Here is a 15,740-nt window from a genome sequence, read left to right on the forward strand (position 1 = left end):
GGCAGTGTTCACCTGCTGGTATAAGCCACGGTATCTCGTGTGTGTGTGTGTGTGTGTGTGTGTGTGTGTGTGTGTGTGTGTGTGTGTGTGTGTGTGTTATGTTGATGATGATGACTGGTACATTAATAAGCTCTGGCTCCAGAGAGAATTCTAAAACTCCCTCAAAACAACTTAGCTCATATTTCCATGAGTACCATTCTTAAATATGCCCTTAAAATGTTATTCTGCATATATGCTGCTGAACAATCGGGTTTATTTAAAGATTTAAGGTTTTTTTAATTCAGTAAACTTTATTTATATATAACAACAGTACAAATTGTGTCCTCAGCTTGCAAAATAGGAGTGTTTCATATTTACAATAGGTACACAATAATATATTAGAATAACAAAAAACCCCACTTTATTGGAACATTTTAAATACTTAATTTTCTTACAGTTTTTATTCCACAACACCTGTAAAAACAACAAAACCAGACAACCATCATTGTATTTTCTTAAAAATATATATAATACAGATTCCAGTGTGTCAAGAGGAGTGGGTTTGAGCAGGAAAAGTTGTGGGGAAAGGCAGGTGGGCTCCGGCCCCTAGTCTCATGGGATAGAGAGCTTGTCCCTTCTGCCCTTACACACGCAAGAATATCTGTTCTGTTTGGGGGGAGTATTTCCATTCTGCCTGCCACCTTCCATGCCAAGATGAAGGCCAAATAAGTCAAAGTGAGGACTTTGAAATGCAGAAGATGTTTCCTACCTTCCTTGAGGCCAGGGTAGGAGGGAGCAGGCTGCACTGCAGCAGAAAGAAGACAGCTCAGGCTGAAGGGAGAGCTTCTCTGCTGTGAGAAGAATGAGATGTGGGTGTCCACGAGAGGCTGAGGAATCTCCAGTTTGCTTATTGGGTGGAGGCCCTGTATGCCAAGCAGTGGCTGTGATCGTGTCTCAGGACTTTCCCTAGCACTAGTTAGAAAATACCAAGAGTGAAACTTTATCCCTCATTCATGGGGATCACTGAGCTCCAGATACTAAAACGTCACACTTCAGGGAAACTAGGGAAGAGAGACTGAGTTATGGAAAGGATGCTACCATTTTTCTCAAAGCATGTTCCTGAGACAAGGCGTCGGAAGGCCCTGAAGTTCATCTCCCAAGTTCCCCGTCGATCTGCTCCCACAGCCCTGTGTCTGTGAAGCCACTTTGCATTTTCTCACCCACTGAGCCTCCTGAGTCTCAATTCTTTTCTCTCTGTGCCCAGGCCCCAGGAGTCTCATGCAAGACACAGCGTGGCTGGGAAAAAAAGACGGCCTCTCCTGGAGCAGCTGCTGGATCAGTATTTACCAGGAGCAGGTTAATGGGGGCAGGCGTGGCAACCGGGATGCACCTGGAGATTTATCAGCCAGAAGCTTTCAAATGCTCCCTATTTGTTCTGCCCAGGCCATTCTTCGTCCAGCACTCATCCATTGCTTCTGTTTCACGCTCAGCAGGGCCAGGGGTCTTGACTGCTATTTCCTGTCCTCATTTGGTGGAACTGAAGGAAGGTCAGAAGCTCAAGCAGCAGGTGAAGTGCAGCCAGAAGAGATGGTGGCAGTAGAAACAAGAGCAGCTCTCATCGCTGGGGGAATGGCCCCAGAATAAGGTAAGGCAGCTGGGTTGGTCTGCTTTCTTCCTTTGCTGGACCACTTTTCCTACAAAACTGGTACCCTGTGCCACTAGGGGAGGAGAACTGTTGCCTGCTAAGTTGGTGGCAGGAACCAGCTTCCTGAAGGATATAAATTCGCTGGAAGAAAGACCTTGGTTTTGTTCCGTGCTGTTTTCCCATCTCTAGAGCAGTGGCTGGCAGACAGTGGCTACTCAAGAAGGTTCCCAGATGAATGAATGCAGGAAACAGTTCCCTCCTCCAATGAGATTAACAGCTGATCCATGCTTTTAATGACTGAACTCTGTAAAGAGGGGAACCCTCTGCCAATGGGGGATCAAAATGGTTTTGAGAGCCCTGCTGTGGAGAGAGGTAGGACAGCAAGCACAGAAGCACCTGACCCCATGCAGAGGACGGGAGGCAGCAGCAGGGGCCAGCTGGAGGGAGTGCTCTCCATTGCCCATTAGCATCCTCTGTCTTGCCAAGCACCCTTCTGGGGTCCTCTTCCTTTTCCAGAGCATTGTCTCTTGTGCAGATCAATGAAACGAAGCGAAGCTGGATAGACTTTGGAGAGAGACTTCCCTCTCTGCCTCCCCCAAGATGAATGGCTTCTTGTGGAGAGGAGCTGTGGCTTTAACACTTCATCCTTACCCAAGGTCAAAATATCCTCAAATTGGATAACAGGGAGAAGAGAGGCCAACCAACTCCCTCTTTTTCTCATCCAAAGGGTGTGGACTTCATTGGTTCTTGGTGGCCCAAAGCGAAGAGGTGTGGAGGAGGAACAGGTGGGCAGCTGGAAAGGGGGCAGGGCCTTATAACCTTTCACCCTCATGGCGTGGCTTGAGTCCAGCTTTTTCCCTTTTCTTAATTCCTTCCTTAAGGATGCCCCAGGCTACTTCCTTTGTCAGCCCAAGTTCCCCAAGTCTCTCATGGAATCCTGAGAAATGTGGCCAAACCACTCACAGCCAGCTCCGGCTCTTCACTCTCCACCCTCCAATTGGCCATTGCCCCATCATTCTCCACGCTCTCCACAAACCTTCAAGGAAACGCCCCAGGGGCAGTGAATCGTCTCCAAAAGTAACTGCTGGGAGATGCCAGGTAGATGCATTGAGTTAAGGGCTGGTAGAGATGCTACTGAGATGTCCGACTGCCTTTAACTTCTTGGTGGAGCAAAGCCTGGATGCCAGTCTGAGCAGCCATGCGGCCAGAAAATCTTCACCCAAACAGAGCTCAGAAGTTAGATGGGGTGGGCTGAACTTTTTTACAGGTAGCATAAGGTCTCCTGGTCACACTCTTCTTACCTATATCTCCTTTCCTTTTATCTCCATAAATTATGGGCTCTGCGCTGATAAGCTTTGAGTGCTATGAAGAGCAAACACTTTGGCTTAGTGCGGAAGGCCAGTCATTAGTATTTCCTTCAGGCTACTAATAGGGCCTGAGAAACTTTAAAGAAGTGGATTTTCAAAAGAAAGTGGCCTTGGCATGGCTGGTTGTGAATTATAATGAAAACAGCAAGTTTCCTGAGTATTTTGCTGAATGCTTTTCTCTTCCCATTTGTCAGCCGCATTCAGGCAAGAAACTAGAGCTGGGGAGACCGGGCAACGTCTGCTGTGTGGTTAGACAGCGATCCAAAGCTACACGCCAAGGATGGAAGCCAGACCTCTGCGCTCCCCTCCCCCAGCCCTCTCCTGGGAATCACATGTGGTCAGCAGGGCCTTTGGAAATTGGAACCACTTGGAGGTAAAGCAGGGCACGGAGAAGCTGGAGCCCAGAGTTAATAACAGAGAAAATGACCCTGGTCTAGTCTCTCTTGGAGGAGCTGGTCTAGCTTCCCAGCATCATAGCCTAGGATTCCTGACCCTTTGAAAAGTGAGGAAGGGCAGCTTGTTCCTCTTTGTCTTCCCCAGTCCCACACCTTTGCTTCCACTTGTCCTCCTACCCCCTGACTCCAGTGCTGCTTGCAGAACAGTTGGAGCTGGCTGCTCGGATCCAAGGTAATGTGGGAGGCCTGGACACTCTGATGGCTATCCTGGCCACCAAGGTCCTGACACTCACAGAGCGCCTTTCCTCTCGATGACTCCCACTGGCTTCTATGGGGCCTTTGGACCTGGGCATGGAGCTTTGGTCTCTTTGTTTGGAATCTACACTCAGGAGAATTGGTTATCCATAGTTTTAGGCATCATCAGAAGAGACAGAGAAGGAAAGTCCAGTGAGAAGTCATCCACTTGTCCTTCACACTCACAAGTCCGTGAGAGGCAGAAAGAGAGGCAGAAGGTAGTAACGTGGGCATGCCACAGTCATTTCTACTGAGGAAGTGCTGTAGGCCCAGATGGTCAGGAGCTTCCGTATATGAGCGAAGGGTGGTCTCCCCTCTCCAGGCACGAGAGAATGAAAGAAAGAAAGCATAATAATAAATACTGCAGCTTCTGTAACCTATGCTCTTCAAGTATTGCTTGCTGTAAACAGTGTTTGATTTTTGTTTTCTTTTTAATTGCCAGGGACCACTGGATGATTGGAGTGAACTCCAAAGTCAAACACCTATGTCTCCAAATCAACTTTCAAATGGAACCTCGTGGAGGCCTGGCCCACACACCTCCAGGCCGTTTCCCCAGGGTGCCTGGTTTATGACAGGGATTGATATGAGGCAGGGCTGCCAGGTGTCTGGTCTGGGAGAGGCCCACCTCACCCCACTTCTCATAGTAACTTTAGGGAAATTGAAAGGAAACATATCAAAGACCAGCTCCTCATTTGTTGAGGTTTAGGATTAAATAAAACAAAACAAAAAACAGTAGCAAAAAGCATTGGTACTATCTAGGTACACATCTCCTCTCAAAAGATGAGAATATACAGGTGTGTGGTAGATAAAGCTCAGTTTCCAGTCAGCCAGGGTGAGCTCTTGATGGCTTTGCAATTTGTGCAAAGTTCTGGAAGTTCCATACTCCTCTGGCTGCCGGGATAATTCCAGGTTTTACTGGCCTCTGTTTTTGCGAAGTGTTTGGTGCATACTTGTGCTCATCATTCTTCTTCTCCTCTTTCTCTTTTTTTTTTTTTTTTTAATTTCAAGGAAAAGGAGACAGTCATTTTCTCTCCAATGTCTCTCAGCATCTCTGCTTTCTCTGGCATTTGGAAATAGGCATTATATAAAGAAGGAGGAATGGGAGAAAAGATGGAAGGGAGACAGAAATCAGAATTAAACAAAAGTTGGACGGGATTAACAGGGCGGCTTTTTGTTTTATTTCTGTTTTTTTCCCTTTTTCTTAAAAAAATTAAATAAAGTTCTCATTATTTCCCCAATATACATCAAATGAGTTTTCATGCAAAGCAGCAGTCACAGAGGCAGAACTGTCCCCAGCTCGTGCCTCTCGGCTTGAAGAACCACCTTCTCCCGGCCCCGGGTTCTCTGGTGTTCTCACTGAGGATGGACGACGCCCACTGTCTCTCCCAGCTGGAACTGGCTATGACGAAACTTGGCTGGCGTAGGGAGAGGAGTCCTCCCCTCTCCCCAGGATGGGGTCTCAGGGGACAGCAAGCTCTGGGGCCTGATCCCCATCACTTGTCCTTCCATCTGAGACTCCCAGTGTGACAGCTTGGACAGGTCCCTCTTCCCAGGAATGCGAGGCTCCTCCTCTCAGCTCTCAATGGACATGGCATTAATGAGCTGCTCCACCTTATAAGCCAGCCGCTGCCGCCGTGCCTGCTCATCCTGCTCTAGGGCCCCGATGAGCTGAGGAGCAAAAACAAAGGCAGGAAGACTTCAGGACTCAGAATAGAAGACACCATTTTCTGGAGTCGTTCCCTCTTTGCCCTCTGTCTACCTTTCCATTCTGCCTTCATGCACATAACCTTAAATAATTTAAATGATTAACTGAATGAATACATGCACACACACCTATATATATGTATGTATGTATGGTGTTTCAAACATTCTCTGGCATAGGAAGTGCTATGCAAGTGTTAATTATTGCTACTACTACTACTACTTTCACGTTCAATGCTAAAGAAGCTTTGTGAGTTTTCCAAAGGTATCCTAATCAATCTCTATTCATATTAGGGTCCACCTGTCTATCTGAAATGTAACTGACAGGATCTGCCCGAATGCAAAGAATAGTTTGATTCATTAAGAGAGAATGAAATTAATTATACCATACTTTGAACTGAAAAACAAATGATTAAAAGTGTTATTTATTGTGTTAACAATGAGTGAAAGACAATGAAGTGTATAAAGCCTTCAGTGAATCAGGAGTTGAGTTGCCTCATAAAGGAATGATAATTTTCGAGCTCATGGGCTTCTGACTCCCTGAATGTGTTTTCTAAATTGCCATCTATTTAAGGACTGAGTCAGGCTTCCTGCTCCTTGCCTGTTGGTTTCTGTCCCTGCTGGGGCCCTGTCTCACCTCCTCACTATACTTGCTGACATAGGAGTAGATCTCATTGAGGGCACTCAGCATGTTGAACTCCACGGCGTGCAGGCGGGACTGCTCGGCGAGGTAGGCATTCATGTCCTGGTCACTGATGGCTGGGAGCTTGGCGATGTCTGCGTAGTATCTGCCAGAGACAGGATAGGCGCCTTGGTGGAGGCCTCAGCAAACATTTACCTATAGCTACCCCGGGCCCAGGTCCTTCGAGGGCACTGATGTACCCAGTTGCTCCTGCCTCCCTATTTCTCTTCTGATGTGGCTTCCTCTGGCCTCTTGCTTCATGCTGAGGTTGAGGCTGAAGGCCAGAGTTTCTTCAGTAGATTCCATCTAGCCGAGAGCTCGTGGCTGCGGTGCCCAACAGAGTGGTTAAAAGCCCAGACTCTCACCAGGCTCTTTGTGTTCAAATCCCAGCTCTGCTACCTGCTAGCTGTGTGACGCAGGGCAAGTTATTTACCCTCTCTGTACCTCAGTTTCCTTATCAGTAAAATGGGGATAATAATAATACTGGCTTCACAACTCTGCTGGACATTTTAATGAGATGATACACACAAAATCTTTATCAGAATGCTGAATGCTTAGCACATGCTCAATGAATAGTAATTAGGATGATAATCATCTGACTTCCACGGGCACAAAGCCACCCTTCCTCCCGCAGCAGGGGGTGTGGCAGGGAGGGGAGTGGGAGGTCCTGAAGAGATGACAGACACCGTCGTCTGAGTCCTTAGTCAGTGATGACTATAGAGCGGGGAATGGGCAGGGAGACAAGGGCATGGGCCTGTCCTGAGGGTGCTACTGACCTCTCCACCCAGCTCTTGTAGCTGGGGATGTCCTTGGCATAGAGCAGCTTGTTGGAGGGGGAGTCCTTGCCCAGCCGGTGCTCTGACGTTGAACAAGAGTCCATGAAGGTCTGGGCCACCACAGAGAGGCAGGCGTCCGTGATGCTGCCCTTGTGGATGTCAAACACGAACTGGGGGTTCTTAATCACGTTCACCCAGAAGCGCAGAGGGAGGCTGTGGGGAAAGGCAGAGAAGACTTGAGAATGCATGCGGGCCGTGCCCCTTCTGCTGCCCACTGATATTCTTCCCCATCAAAGGTCAAATTGTCCACCTGAAGGGGCAAAGGAGTAAAATGGAAGAAAATGGGTCCAGCCAGGGTTAATTTAGCCAAAGCTGTTACTGACCTGGGAGAAATGGAAGGAGAGGCACTTTGTACCCTAATGGGGGCACTGACCCTGATCTCTAACATCCGAGGGGTGGGCCTGGGTGTGTTCTGTTCCCTTCTGGGAGACTTTTCTAAAGGACTCTGTGCCCCTAGGCAAGCCCAAGAACAGAGGACAGCACATTTTCTCAGGGCTTCACACAAAGCCACCAGGCTCCTGGAGTCCCTTCACAGTGCCCGTGGCCATTGTCCGGAAGAAGGCAGCCAGGAGCCCCAGGCTCAGCCTCGGAGCAGGCACAAAGGGCGCCACCTGCGCTCCCCGCCCAGCCCGGCTGCCCAAGCTACTTCCCAGGGCTGGCCTGGCCTGGCTGGGCCGAGGAATGGGCTCCCCTGGGGGAAGTTCTTTCATGACTCTCCCCAGGGCGTTCTTGTATCTGGGCAGGGGCAGAGGGAGAAGTGGAGGCCATTGTTGGCATCCTGGGAATGACTCACTGTAGCTCAGAGATTTTCCCACCCCAAGAGGAACCGATCAGTAGTTAGGAGACTTCCTTCTGCAACTCGGGAATTTATAACCAGAGGAGAATGAGTTTTCTCTGCTCCTTAGACCATAAAGCAAATAAGCCCATTTACTCTCCTTCAAAATCAGAACAGCTGCTGCTTTTACTTCCTTTTCCAGCTTTGCCTTCTCTTCCAGCTGCCTTCTGGGCTTTAACTCTTTTGACTCCTCTGTGGAACCGGTCCTGTCACAGGCTTGTCCTCCAGCCTGAGATGATGTTCCCAGCTCCCCAGCTTCTTCTTCTCTCCCCTCCTTCATCTTCTCTTGACTCTCATGGGCCCCAAACTTTCCCAAATGTCTCAGTAGTGCCAGGTCTTGGGGAAGATCTGCTTTACCCAGCCTCAAGCCCTTCCACGATGATTTCTGCCTATCTTCCAAAACACAACAGGATCCCTCACTTTCCTCTAGCCTGGGAGAAGCTGCTGCAGCTGAGAGCTGACTCATCTCTTCTACCCTCCCCTTCTTCTGGCAGCCTTGGGTAGTTTCTGGTAATCTTTCCCTGGACATTTGCTATTGAGGTCTGGTTAAGGAAACTCTCTCCACACCACGATGCCAGGGTAGTCCATTTCTATTACTTGGATCTGGCCAGCACACAGAAGGCACAGAGATGCGGATAACCCTGGACTTTCTCTTGATTTCCCCTGAAGTGCCCTCTCCCAGCGCTGGGCCGGGGATGCTCCAAAGCAAAGGGGACAGGCATGTGCTGTCCAGGGAATGCAGATGGAAGGCCTGTCCTGGCAAAGTGGACTGTGGGCTCTTAACCCCAGGGCCACCCCAGCCTGTTCGTTTCACTCCACTGTGATCAAAGCTGCAGACTGAGGAAGGCTCAGCGACCACAAGACCCGGGAGGAGGAAGGAAGAGATGGGGCTGGGGTTGGCTTTTTCCAAAGTGTTTTGTTGGTTGCTAGGACTTTTGATTCCCAAATAACAGCCTGGGCCCATCTGTGTCGGCTCTGTTTTCTGAGGAGACCGCTAACTCCAGACAGCTGCGTGGGCTGCCTGCCCAACCCAAATGCCTGGACCTCCCCTCTCCCCTCTCTGTGCTCTTTCCCAAAGGAAGCCTTTTGATGCCAGCTCTTGGCCGGGTCCTGTCTGACCTGAAAGCCAGTCCTTAGCTTGGTCTGTGGTCCAGGTTCAAAACCCATGAGGATAAAGTCTCATACCAGGGGCCTGAGGGCTTCTCCCACTGCTGGTCTGGTTGCAGAGATGACTTTAGGGGAGAGAGTCATGCCTGCAGGGCATTCTGCCTGCTGCTTCCTGAAAGCTATGGCGCCAGGATAATCACTTGGCCTTAAGAGATCAAGTTTGCAATGAAATCCTCCCTGTCAGTGGGCTCAAGTCTATAGCAGGTGTGAACTCCCTCTCCGGTGCTGACCAACTTCACCGGGCGTCTCAGTTTAATTCAGGGATTCCCCATCTCAGGAAGTGCCTTAGAACTGCCCCACTCAGAATGCCCCACGATGTCTGGCTGTGAAGCTCTGCTGCAGGCTTCAAATGCAGCTCTTTGCATAGGTTCCCCCAGCTCCCTTCTCCTGAGAACCAGAGATCTCAGAGCCAGGGGAGGAGGCTCTTCTTGGGGTACTGGTCACAACCTGGAGGGGCAGAATTCAAGGGTGCATCCTATTGCTGTGCCTCAAGCCAGGCAGGCCCCACTTGGCACAGGCAGCTGGGGACCGTGTGGGCTCTGCAGAGCATATGTGCACTGTTTGTTCCAGGAGCTTTGGATCACCCAGCCCCAGCCGAGAATAGGCTATCCTCCCACCCTCCCATCTCCTGGTCCTCATCCCTCTTAGCTCCAGGCCTCTCCAGGCTGCACCTCCTGCTGAGCTCCCCGAGGGTTTACCAGTTGCTTTTCCAGGTGTGCCGCACATCTGTGTCATGGATGCTGTGCCTGTCTGCCTGCTCATCTAGGAAATCAAACATGTACTTGATGGCCAGGGGGAGAGCGCTGCCCCGGTGCACAGTGCTGAACAAGGTCTCAAACAAGTCGTCCACAAACTTCTGCAGGGTGCCCTGGAGGAGGGGTGGGGGAGAGTAAGATGGAGGGGGGTGACGGCAGGTAGCAGACAGGCATACCAGATGGTGCCTTGGACCCATCCTGCCTTGGAAATTTGTCTGGGACACGAGGCTGTGCAGGCAGTGTTGCGGGGTGGGGAAGGGTACTATTGGTTAGCTGGGGAGGTGGGAGAAACTGGGTGGGCTGTGAATCCTGGGGAAGAATCTCTCCTCCAACCTGCAGCCACATTCCACATTCCACACAGGGTGTAGGCTCAGGGTCTTTGACAGGAAGACAGGAAGTGCCCCGGGTCCGGGCTTCCCATGGGTGAATGAGGGGGCACAGGCTGCAAGCCAGTCCGGAAACAGTGTCCGAGGAACAAGCTGGAGGACTGGGTGCCTCCTGGCAGGAGCACAGCAGGACCAGGAGAGTCTGTTAGGAAGGTATGAAGAGGCTTAGGATGTTAGTGACCTGAGACAAGTGGTATCTGGAATGTGGAATGTGGGTGAAGGGTCTAGACTCAAGAACCACCTCCCCACAGGCAGAGTGCTGATCCACAGGGCTTTGGAGGGTCTCTGGGGCAGGAATAAGACTGGGCCTGGCTCCCACAGTTTACAGGCTCATGGCACACCTCTGAGGGTCAGCAGAAACCTCTAGCTTTTTCTGTTATCTCTTTGTTGGTCTCTTGTTGTTATGCTGAGCATATTAGGCAAAGCTAAAATGGAGACATGGGGTCTCGTGGAATATTTCTGGGCCACTCTGGGAGCAAGTGTGAGAGCTGTAAGTTGGATGCCACTGTATTAAAACTTCAGTGCCATTGTTGGAGGGTCCATCGGGGAGAATATTTGAAATCTAGCCCTGCGTGGAAAACATTGGCTCTTTGATTGTCATACTTACAGGCTTATTTTGCTACCTGCTAGGAAGGCTAAAAGATGAAGCCTCACTTCCATCAACATTTGGGGGTAGCTGGGGTGGGATGGGATGGGAAGAGGAAGCCTCCCCTTGGATTACTGGCAGGGCCAGGCCTCTGTGCTTTCCCTCCCATTGTGGCCAGAAAGGGGATAGAAAGGCCAGCATATCTATCCAACTAATATCAGCAAGAAACCCCACTGCCTTCCTAAAGCTTAAGGGGTCCAGAGGGAGAGAGTTACTCCTCTGAAGTGAAACAGTAGTCTCAAGAAGTACGCAGAAAGCAAAGATATATTTGCTATTTTTGCCAAAGGGTAGAGAACAGCGGTGGCCTGATCCTTTGGAAGCCCTGCCCAGGGAACTGGACTATCTCTCTCTCTCTCTTTTTTTTTTTCCAATTTTGTCCTCTTTTTTTTTTTTCGTTAGTGGAGATCGGGTCTTGATATGTTGCCCAGGCTGGTCCCATACTCTTGGGCTCAAGGCATCCTTCTGCCTTGGCCTCCCAAAGTGCTGGGATTATGGGCATGAGCCACCAGGTCTGGCTGTACCTGGACTGTCTGAATGGGTCCTCTTGAAGGACACACTCCAGACATCCTTTCTGTGTTGTGGAGGGGCAGGATGTGCTCCTTTAACAAGCACTCCCTGGTCTGGGCAGAGGGGGAGTTACCTTGGTGGCCAGTAGCCGGGTCAGGTAGATCTCGGACACCATCTTGCTGCCCCGGTCACCCTCCTTCTGGTCACCGTGGTCATGGTTCTTCACCAGATGCCACACCTTGACCCCACTTTCCAGGTCTGGGGTGATCATCGGGGCCCGGGACCGCAGGCTGTCGGGGCTGCCCGTATACCTGAAGGAGGAGTCTGAGGAGAAGGGGTTGGTGGAGGGCTGTGAGTAACAGTCACCAGCCTTGCTTGTAGAATCCTTCCAGAATCCCTGCCCGCCTGCTGCATCCACTCAGAATAAACTCATTTCAGCTGAAAGGGGACCGTTGGGACCTCATATATGGTAGGTTATTTTAGGGATCCTTGGTTGGCATGAGGACGGAAGAGCTTGAAGGCTTTTTTAGAAAAGGATTTATAAATTTTGTGAATTAGAGACATCCTTGGGAATTTGGGAGTCCCCTCTACTCTGACACTCCCAGCAATGAATAATTAATAGGTAAAATGTCAATAGGATATTTTCGTCGGTGTTTTAATAGAAATCTGGATACTAAAGAGCTGCAAGTTGTAATTCTCCTCTTGGGAGTTAAGGGTCTCTTCTTGCATGGGGCCTGGGGTATGGGATTTCCTGAGCCCTTTTTGGTGCTGCTGGGTTCAGTCCTGTGGTGCCCTTTGGTTGAGAAGCCCAAGGCCTTAGTGCATACATGAAACCAGAGCAAATAAAATAAGGGACAAGGAGGTGCCATAACCTCATTGCCCGGAGGGCCTGGGGGCCCCAGTACTCCTCGGACTAATTTATTGATCAAACTGGGACACTTCTGAGAGTAAAAGGGGGCACTCTTAATAATTCAGCCAGGACAACAAGCATAAACTGGACTGGCCCAGGCAACCTGGGATATATGAACCCCCAGCCAGGTGCCTTCCTGGTTCTGGGCCACTCCGACTCCTCTACCAGGCTGGGATATCAAACAAAGGGCACATGGTGCCACCTGCTCCCACGGCTCTGAGGGCGCAGGCTGCCTGGGAATGCCTGGACTAGGGAGGACAGAAACCAACTGGCAGGAGCCTGTGATTGGGCCAGCAGCAGCAAGGGCTGCCTGCTGTTAGAAGGGGTAGCGAGTGGGCCCTGCTAGGTCTCAGAAGACTCTGCTCTGAGCTGCCCAGTCTGCCCTCGTGGTTCTCACCGTATCTGCTGATGGACGTCCGGGAGATGCTGGCAGAGGCAGGGATGTTGTAGGAGGAGGTCTGTTTGGGGACCAGAGCCACCACCGACCTGTCTGACACCTGAGAAGGGTACAAAAGGTACAGTACAAAAGGTGAATGTAGGTGTCTTGGGAAGTTGGATAGTCAAGTATTTCTAGAGGGTTATAAGATAGCTGTGGGGTAGAGAGCAAGGAGTACAGGAATACCAGAAACAACCATTACTGCTGTTTTTTGAGCTTTTATTGGGTTAGAGCTGCATAACCCAATCAAATAGCTACTTGCCATGTGTGTGGATTGAGCATTTGAAATGTGGTTAATCCCAACTAAGATGAGCTGTGTCTAAATTGAGATGTGCTATAAATATACATTACATGCTGGATTTCAATGACAGTATGAATACAAATATAAACTATCTTATTGATAATTTTTAAATTGATTACATATTGAAATGATAATCATTTTAGACCAGTTAGATTAAATAAAATATGTAACATTAATTGATCTTTTTATTTTTACCTTTTTAATGTGACTAATACAAAAAGTTTAAATTACACATGTGGCTTGCACATGTGGCTTGCATTAATTTTCTACTGGACAGCACTGGGCCAGACCCATTCTCCCATCCACTTGGCGAGCTATGCACAAGTATTCCCATTTTACAGATGAAAAAAAAAAATGGAATCATAGGGAGGCTAAGCAACCTCTTAAAGGTCACATAATTCATACATGGTAGAGCCAATATTTGTAGCCAGGTATGTCAGGCTCCAGAGCACATGTTCTCTTCATTATATATTCTAACTTGGAATTTTATTTCGAGTCACACTGGTCTGAAGCCCATTTTCCCTTTTGGCTCTGCTTTCTTTCTGACCTGGGTCCTATAATGCCTGGATCACTTCAAATAGTTTCATCAAAAGGGCAGCCACTCTTGGGGACTGAGCGAGAAAGATGGTGTCTTGTCCCATCCTCTATGAGGGTACCCCAGCTCAGCACCCAGCCTGCAGGAGAGGGCGGATAAGTGAGGAGCCATACTGAAGACATTTGGGGCCATTTTGATTTAAGATTGCCCTCCATCCAGTAAAAACAGAGAATCCCCAGAATCGTGGTGATCCAATTAAACCCCTAACGCAGAGGGAATAAAACAGCTATAATAATGTTATGGGCCATAAAACATTCCTATTAAACCATTTTTTATTTTAACAATTTTTATGAACTTTATAAGTTTGATTTATAGCTGCACCAGTCATAAAACCATCTTTCTGGGTCTTAAATTGTCAGTCCCTCTCTCCCACCAAAAAAGAATTAAATGTGGGGAAGTCAAACTATAAATGAACATTAGTGCTAACGAGATTCCCTGATAGCAGGTTTTAGTGGTGGTGTTTAATTTTACCCTCCCTATAAATCTGCAGAAGCCTGGGAAGTTTTTTAACATCTCTTTGTTAATTAAGATTATGCAGATTTTCTTCTGCAAGGGCTCCAAGGACCTTTGACTCCAGAGAGGGTAACAAGAGGGCAGTGCATTGACTTGATGGTATAAAGCTCCAAGGTCCTGTGCCTGGAAGGTGCCAAGGCTCCATTACTTCCCAGCTAGACCAGCTCCCTGGACTTGTCAGCTGTTGGTACCATCAGCACTAGGACTGGGAGGGGGGCAGTCTCTACCTCCGTCTTTCAGGAATTCTCCTTACAACTGACAGCCCAGAAATGATACCTGGAAAGCTTGGCAGGGGCAGGAGTTCACACTCCCAGGGAGAACAGATTACATTATCATTTATAGTTTCTTGTCACCTAATGAAAGATTCACAAGGTGACTCAAATGACCACAGTTCAACTTGATTGCAGGTCTAGTCACTAAACCGCTCCTGTCCTTGGTTTTTCTCTGTCTTAACCAACAGGTGGTGCAAGTCCATGGTCAAGATGCCTGGCTGGGTCTGACCTTGACTCTGCTGCTTACCCGCTCCAGGACTTAACCTCTCTGAGCCTTACCGGTCAGTGGGGATAATAATTGCATGTAGTTTGTGGTGAGAATTAAAGAAGTTAAAACACGGAAAGGCTGCGAGCAGTGCCTGGGATCCAGTGAGCACGCAGTAAGTGTTGGTATTAGCGTTGCTATTATGAGCATCATCATCATCATCATCACAGTCTCCCAAAGGGAAGAATACTCCCTGCTGTCCCCTGTCACTCAGGGCTAGCATGTGGGAAGTGACTTGCACTCAGTAAAACTCAGTAAATATTTGAGGACTGAATGCATACATGAATGATAAATGACATCAGGGAATTGAAAGTGCTTTGTATGATCAGCACCATGAGAACAAAATAGTCCCTTCTTCTGATTGGGAGCCGTAGGCTGGAAAGCCCAGTAACAAGCATTAGAGTATCAGAGACAGAAGCAGAAAGACCCCACTCCTGCCCTTTAGAAACTCATGATTTGGGGGCATCATGCTATTTTCTTTTGTACTTTCTTATTCAGCTTTAATTGGTTCATTACAATTGTTCTACTGGATACATTAAGCACCATATGAAATGGTGGTGTTTGGGCATGTGTGTATGTGTACAGAATTAACAGGGAGTGATGACAGCTACCTTATCTGTAAGTACAATCCTGGGCACCTCACACTTTCGCAAGTCAGGGTTGTTATCTCCATTTTACAGATGAGGAGCCCAAGGTGCAGAGAGATTAAAGTCACACCACCAAGGAGTGGGGAAGCAGGGCTTGAATACAGCTTCTAAAGCCTCTTCTCTTCCCATTACACCACACTCATGTCCTCTGGGCAGGGGTCTAGGCAGGGTGTCAGGATGGGAGGTGCAGGCGAGTCAGGGGGATGGAGCCTGGAGAAGAGCATTTTTGGGGACCCCTGTGCCACAGCTTCCTCTGTGCCCATGGAGGCTCCTGCCAGCTCCAGCGCCTGGTGGTTGGCAGCTCAGTGCCTGAGAGCCCAGCCTGCCAGCCCCTCTACAGATCCTTCTTTCCGAGACAGGGACATGGGAGGATGTTATTAATCAGACGATCCCACGGGTCTTGCAGCCTGAGGCGCTTCCTCTAGTTGGTTTAATTTCCCTTGGTGTCTCTTATTTCCAGTTTCTATTTTAGTATTTTTTCTGAATCCCAACCTGTCTACCTGTGCTTAATCTTACAGAGACCCCCAGCTGCGAGTGGTTACCATGGGAGGGGAGAAGAGGCGGGAGTAGATACCTCCTTGATCTTGTGTTCTTTTGCTGGGATTT

The 15,740-nt window shown here is 49.1% G+C and overlaps 1 protein-coding gene across 3 annotated transcripts in view; it reads right to left on the reverse strand.

Moving 5' to 3' along the window:
* Window positions 1-251: 251 nt before the first annotated feature.
* The window catches only part of PLXNA2 (plexin A2), a 222,143-nt gene continuing 206,654 nt past the window's right edge, over window positions 252-15,740 (reverse strand). Inside the window, exons 27-33 of one of the 3 annotated variants that reach the window (XM_005273164.4) lie at window positions 12,503-12,602; window positions 11,329-11,519; window positions 9,990-10,184; window positions 9,600-9,769; window positions 6,840-7,052; window positions 6,019-6,169; window positions 252-5,348 (exon numbers count right to left, since the gene is read on the reverse strand). In XM_005273164.4, the coding sequence (XP_005273221.1) occupies window positions 5,253-5,348; window positions 6,019-6,169; window positions 6,840-7,052; window positions 9,600-9,769; window positions 9,990-10,184; window positions 11,329-11,519; window positions 12,503-12,602 (1,116 nt within the window). In that variant the 3' untranslated portion in view covers window positions 252-5,252. Of the gene's footprint in view, window positions 5,349-6,018; window positions 6,170-6,839; window positions 7,053-8,376; window positions 9,349-9,599; window positions 9,770-9,989; window positions 10,185-11,328; window positions 11,520-12,502; window positions 12,603-15,740 lie in introns of those variants that run through there. The other 2 variants (NM_025179.4, XM_005273165.5) reach the window with 2 other exon arrangements.

The sequence above is a fragment of the Homo sapiens genome, chromosome 1 (genome assembly GCF_000001405.40).
Source record: "Homo sapiens chromosome 1, GRCh38.p14 Primary Assembly".
Taxonomy (NCBI): Eukaryota; Metazoa; Chordata; class Mammalia; order Primates; family Hominidae; genus Homo; species Homo sapiens.